Here is a 6,026-nt window from a genome sequence, read left to right as displayed (position 1 = left end):
GTTACATAGGTATACATGTGCCATGTTGGTGTGCTGCACCCATTAACTCGTCATTTACATTAGGTATATCTCCTAATGCTATCCCTCCCCTCTCCCCCCACCCCACAACAGGCCCTGGTGTGTGATGCTCCCCTTCCTGTGTCCAAGTGTTCTCATTGTTCAATTCCCACCTGTGAGTGAGAACATGCAGTGTTTGGGTTTTTGTCCTTGCGATAGTTTGCTGAGAATGATGGTTTCCAGCTTCATCCATGTCCCTACAAAGGACATAAACTCATCATTTTTTATGGCTGCATAGTATTCCATGGTGTATATGTGCCACATTTTCTTAATCCAGTCTATCATTGATGGACATTTGGATTGGTTCCAAGTCTTTGCTATTGTGAGTAGTGCTGCAATACACATACGTGTGCATGTGTCTTTATAGCAGCATGATTTATAGTCCTTTGGGTATATACCCAGTCATGGGATGGTGGGGTCAAATGGTATTTCCAGTTCTAGATCCCTGAGGAATCGCCACACTGACTTCCACAATGGTTGAACTAGTTTACAGTCCCACCAACAGTGTCAAAGTGTTCCTATTTCTCCACATCCTCTCCAGCACCTGTTGTTTCCTGACTTTTTAATGATCGCCATTCTAACTGGTGTGAGATGGTATCTCATTGTGGTTTTGATTTGCATTTCTCTGATGGCCAGTGATGAAGAGCATTTTTTCACGTGTCTGTTGGCTGCATAAATGTCTTCTTTTGAGAAATGTCTGTTCATATCCTTTGCCCACTTTTTGATGGGGTTGTTTTTGTCTTGTAAATTTGTTTGAGTCCTTTGTAGATTCTGGATATTAGTCCTTTGTCAGATGAGATTGCAAAAATTTTCTCCCATTCTGTAGGTTGCCTGTTCACTCTGATGGTAGTTTCTTTTGCTGTGCAGAAGCTCTTTAGTTTAATTAGATCCCATTTGTCAATTTTGGCTTTTGCTGCCATTGCTTTTGGTGTTTTAGACATGAAGTCCTTACCCATGCCTATGTCCTGAATGGTATTGCCTAGGTTTTCTTCTAGGGTTTTTATGGTTTTAGGTCTAACATTTAAGTCTTTAATCCATCTTGAATTAATTTTTGTATAAGGTGTAAGAAGGGATCCAGTTTCAGCTTTCTACATATGGCTAGCCAGTTTTCCCAGCACCATTTGTTAAATAGGGAATCCTTTCCCCATTGCTTGTTTTTGTCAGGTTTGTCAAAGATCAGATGGTTGTAGATGTGTGGTATTATTTCTGAGGCCTCTATTCTGTTCCATTGGTCTATATTTCTGTTTTGGTACCAGTACCATGCTGTTTTGGTTACTGTAGCCTTGTAGTATAGTTTGAAGTCAGGTAGTGTGATGCCTCCAGCTTTGTTCTTTTGGCTTAGGATTGTCTTGGCAATGTGCGCTCTTTTTAGGTTGCATATGAACTTTAAAGTAGTTTTTTCCAATTCTGTGAAGAAAGTCATTGGTAGCTTGATAGGGATGGCATTGAATCTATAAATTACCTTGGGCAGTATGGTCATTTTCACGATATTGATTCTTCCTACCCATGAGCATGGAATGTTCTTCCATTTCTTTGTATCCTCTTTTATTTCGTTGAGCAGTGGTTTGTAGTTCTCCTCGAAGAGGTCCTTCACATCCCTTGTAAGTTGGATTCCTAGGCATTTTATTCTCTTTGAAGCAATTGTGAATGGGAGTTCACTCATGGTTTGGCTCTCTGTTTGTCTGTTATTGGTGTATAAGAATGCTTGTGATTTTTGCACATTGATTTTGTATCCTGAGACTTTGCTGAAGTTGTTTATCAGCTTAAGGAGATTTTGGGCTGAGACGATGGGGTTTTCTAGGTATACAATTCTTACAAACCCACTTTCAACTGAATTTGAGAGCGGGGAAGCTGGGAAGGAAAGCCCAGGTGTAGACGGCCTGGGTCCGCTAGCCCCGGTGCTGGCTGGATCCGGAGGCCTGGTGGGTGTGCGAAGAATTTCTGTCTCGGTCTTTCCCGCCAGGATCACTGAGGCTGAGCATGACCGTGCTGGGCGCGGCTTCCTGCTGGCGAGTTGGATGTCTGCCCCTTCGCCAGCTTTCCACAGGGCCGCTCACGACTCTGGTCTCCACCGCCCTCCAAGGGGTCCTCCCTTCTGTCCCTGCACTGGCGACGACAGCGGTCCGTCCGGCCCCGACAGAGCTCTGAGGCCTCCTGCAAGCCCCGCCACTGCCCAGGATGGAGGAAGGCTTCGGGGAAGCCTTCCCAGGCGGGATTCCGCCGGACCCGGGGGACCATCCACAAGAGAGTGTGGGCAGCACGCAGGACGTCCTGAGAAGACGCTTGCTCAGCTGGAGTGTTTAAAAACAAACCGAATAGCGTCAGCTCCTGGGGACTGCAGGAAGGGAACAGGCTCAGGGCCAGCAGCGCGTAAGCTGCGGCTCCGAACTGGGGACGCGGAGACCACACGGTGGCGCTGTGGGCCGTGTTTCCCGACACTGCAGCGCGTTAGTTCGTTCCCGCGGTTCTCACCCTTAGCCCCCAGCAAACTCTGCAGCAGAGGAAAATCAGATCCACCTGCCTGCGGGGTGCGGGGGAGCTCGCTTTCAGCAAACTCTGCAGCAGAGGAAAATCAGATCCACCTGCCTGCGGGGTGCGGGGGAGCTCGGTTTCAGCAAACTCTGCAGGAGAGGAAAATCAGATCCACCTGCCTGCGGGGTGCGGGGGAGCTCGGTTTCAGCAAACTCTGCAGCAGAGGAAAATCAGATCCACCTGCCTGCGGGGTGCGGGGGAGCTCGGTTTCAGCAAACTCTGCAGCAGAGGAAAATCAGATCCACCTGCCTGCGGGGTGCGGGGGAGCTCGGTTTCAGCAAACTCTGCAGCAGAGGAAAATCAGATCCACCTGCCTGCGGGGTGCGGGGGAGCTCGCTTTCAGCAAACTCTGCAGCAGAGGAAAATCAGATCCACCTGCCTGCGGGGTGCGGGGGAGCTCGCTTTCAGCAAACTCTGCAGCAGAGGAAAATCAGATCCACCTGCCTGCGGGGTGCGGTGGAGCTCTGTTTTATGCCTTGAAATGCATTTGCGGCATCCCGTTGTAAAACTGCCCGTGAACGCAGCGTCAGGCGCTCGTTTAAACAGGAAGGTAGGTGCTCTAAGACATCACTGAGAGAATTAAAAGTAACTACATAGCAGGAACAGCACGATCTCGTTTGAAGATTTTATTTAGAAACACCAAAAAAGGTAAAACGGGTAGTGTTCTCTAGATGGAGGAATAGGAATTCGTTTATTTTCTTATTTTTGCATATATATGTGTAACTTTAACACCAGTACTCTGAAAATCACTGAATATCAGAACATCTTCTTAATATCTGAGTACCCAGGGCGGGTCCGAGGACGTCCCCAGGGAAACTGTCCCTTGTCGGGGTGAGTGGCCCAAAGGGGCCCCTTTGGGATGGGGGAATGGGGACCCTCCCTCCCCAGGGTTTCCCATCCAAGGAATTTCACTGGAGGCCGGAAGGCTTCAGAACAGTTTTTCCTCCACTCTTGGATGATTTTCTTGGACTGCCCCAGACCATACAGCCCCTGTCACTGAGCAGTGTTTTGATGCTGACAGCCAGCTCCAGTTTCTGAGCTACCAGCTTCAGCCTTGCTCCCGGGCACTTGTGAAAAAACCCTACCTGGGCCCCGCGAATCCACATTCTCATGCTCATTCTGATCCCCGGTGACTCAGGGCCACATGGGAGTCTGGGAAGAAACAGCTCTGCCGGGGCAGGAGCATCTGCAGCCATGATGCCCCCAGCCAAAGCACAGAGGGTTGTGCCCTCTCAATGGGAGTGTCAGGGGCAGGGACTGCATCCCCACCTGTCACCTGTCCACCTGCAGCATCTGAAAGAGGTGTAGTTGTTAGTATATTGGCATTACTAGAATCTCATTGCAAAACATTTCTATCACCCTGAAAAGGAGCCCTGGATTCACTCCCAGCTCCCTCTCTCCGCAGCCTCCGGCTGCCCCCAGTCTGCTTTCTGCCTCCATAGAGCAGCTTATTCCCAGCATTTCATATGAACACCATCACAGGACACGTGGTTGCTTTCATGTCTGGCTCCTTTCATCTAATAATTTTTTTTTTTTTGAGGTGGAGTCTTGCTCTGTTGCCTAGGCTGGAGTGCAGTGGCGCAATCTCGGCTCACTGCAACCTCCGCCTCCCAGGTTCACGCCATTCTCCTGCCTCAGTCTCCTGAGTAGCTGGGACTACAGGCACCTGCCACCATGCCCGGCTAATTTTTTTGTATTTTTAGTAGAGACGGGGTTTCACCGTGTTAGCCAGGATGAGTCTCAATCTCCTGACCTCGTGATCTGCCCATCTCAGGCCCCCAAGGTGCTGGGATTACAGGCGTGAGCCACTGTGCCCGGCCTCACCTAATAATTTTTCTAATAATTTATTCAAATAGGCATCAAGCTCCACACAGGCACAAGGGCCAAGAGGTGCCCCCAAGGGCTCGTGTGTGGGGCGAGGAGGCAGGTGGTCCTACAGAGGGGGTGGTCCTGCAGTGCAGGTGAGTGCCGCACATGCTGGTGGCATCACCAAGGCCGGGACTGCGCTGCAGTAACACCCACCTCCCACTGGCTCAAAGCAAAGGGTCTGTGTGTCACTCATGTCGCTGCTGAACCCGGGCTGGGTGGCCCTCCCACAGCCCCCAGGGCTATGGTCTCTGGGTCACAGAGTGTCGCTGCTGAACCCGGGCTGGGTGGCCCTCCCACAGCCCCCAGGGCTACGGTCTCTGGGTCACAGAGCAGGCATAGGAGCTGCCTCAGCCCAGCCTGACCCCCAGCCCTTGTGCCCACAGTTTGCTGGGCAGAGCTGATGGCGGCCCCACCCTGCCTGTGGAGGAGTCCTGGAGGTGTGGGAGCAGCAGCAGGCCAGGCTGGCCCAGGCCCCTCCCTTTTACTAAAAGAAAAGCATCTCATGTGGGAGGTAGAAAGGGCAGAGCTGGGGAGGGTCTCATTGCTGGTTTCAAACTCTTTTTGCCAAATACTTTTTGTCCACACCTAACCCTCCACAGGAGAGTGGCCAAGATGCCCGGCTGCTCATAAAAGAGGCCCCAGAGCACCCCTCCCCCGTCCGCCATGTGAGGACGCAGTGACACAACTAGGGAAGCCGGTCCTCGTCCTCACCACACACGGAATCTGCCGGTACCTTGATCTGAGACTCCCCAGCCTTCAAAGCTCTGAGAAATGCATTGTTGTTTCTAAGTCCCCCAGTCTATGGCATTTTGTTATGGCAGCCAGAACTAAGCCAGGCTTCCACATGTGCATTCTGGGAGGACGCAGTTCAGTCCCTCACACTTGCTCTTCTCTGTTTTCCTCCTTATGTTCCTATCCTTCATTCTGAGAATTTTCTTCTGACCTACTTTCCAGTTATTCATTATTTTTCAATGACATCTAAACTATTTTTAAACCCACTTATTGAGTTCTGAAACGTTGCTTGTATTTTTTCCAGGCAATCATTTTTGTATTGCATTTACAAATAGGCACAGAGATAGAGACTGCAATGAGAAAACAGAGAATGCAATGAGAAAAGTTGGAGTTCTAGAAAGAAAGTGGAGGGAGAATAGGAAAAATACAATCAGAAAAAAAAAATACAAATCTTTCCTTTTCGTGTAATTTTTATTTCTCCACTGAAGTTCTTGACCTTGTCTTTTTCTTCTCATGGACAATGTCTCCAGCGCTTTCTGCAGCCATCTGAGGGCGCTGTGTCTGCATTCTCGTGTAGACGTTTTCATTTGCAGTGTCTCCAGTCCTTTCTGCAGCCGGCCTCTGAGGGCGCTGTGTCTGCGTTCTTATGTAGATGTTTTCATTCGCTGGGTTTCTCACCACTTACACTCGCGCTGCCATCTCTCCATGTGTGCCTGGCTCTTTCTTTCTTTGCCTGACATTCTATTTGCAATGTTTTGGAAGGAGAATCTGAGGCCAGAATGATGGCTCCTCCAGAGAGGGTGAGCCCGAGTGCCAGCAGCTTGGAGGGGCAGGGC

At 50.0% G+C, this 6,026-nt stretch overlaps 4 annotated features.

Moving 5' to 3' along the window:
• Positions 2,516-2,565: a silencer, noted in NCBI's record as "silent region_15887". NCBI's record gives its function as "represses an Ori minimal core promoter by ATAC-STARR-seq in GM12878 lymphoblastoid cells {active_cell/tissue: GM12878}" and the evidence as "EXISTENCE:reporter gene assay evidence [ECO:0000049][PMID:35858748]".
• Positions 3,514-4,176: an enhancer, noted in NCBI's record as "H3K4me1 hESC enhancer chr5:1643470-1644132 (GRCh37/hg19 assembly coordinates)". NCBI's record gives its function as "activates a minimal SCP1, AML or CMV promoter by ChIP-STARR-seq in naive H9 embryonic stem cells {active_cell/tissue: H9 hESC(naive)}" and the evidence as "EXISTENCE:reporter gene assay evidence [ECO:0000049][PMID:30033119]".
• Positions 4,217-4,768: an enhancer, noted in NCBI's record as "H3K27ac-H3K4me1 hESC enhancer chr5:1642878-1643429 (GRCh37/hg19 assembly coordinates)". NCBI's record gives its function as "activates a minimal SCP1, AML or CMV promoter by ChIP-STARR-seq in primed H9 embryonic stem cells {active_cell/tissue: H9 hESC(primed)}" and the evidence as "EXISTENCE:reporter gene assay evidence [ECO:0000049][PMID:30033119]".
• Positions 4,769-5,321: an enhancer, noted in NCBI's record as "H3K27ac-H3K4me1 hESC enhancer chr5:1642325-1642877 (GRCh37/hg19 assembly coordinates)". NCBI's record gives its function as "activates a minimal SCP1, AML or CMV promoter by ChIP-STARR-seq in primed H9 embryonic stem cells {active_cell/tissue: H9 hESC(primed)}" and the evidence as "EXISTENCE:reporter gene assay evidence [ECO:0000049][PMID:30033119]".

Source organism: Homo sapiens, chromosome 5 (genome assembly GCF_000001405.40).
Source record: "Homo sapiens chromosome 5, GRCh38.p14 Primary Assembly".
NCBI classification, from domain to species: domain Eukaryota; kingdom Metazoa; phylum Chordata; class Mammalia; order Primates; family Hominidae; genus Homo; species Homo sapiens.
The sequence above is the reverse complement of the archived record's forward strand: the minus strand, read 5'-3'. Positions and strand labels throughout refer to the sequence as shown.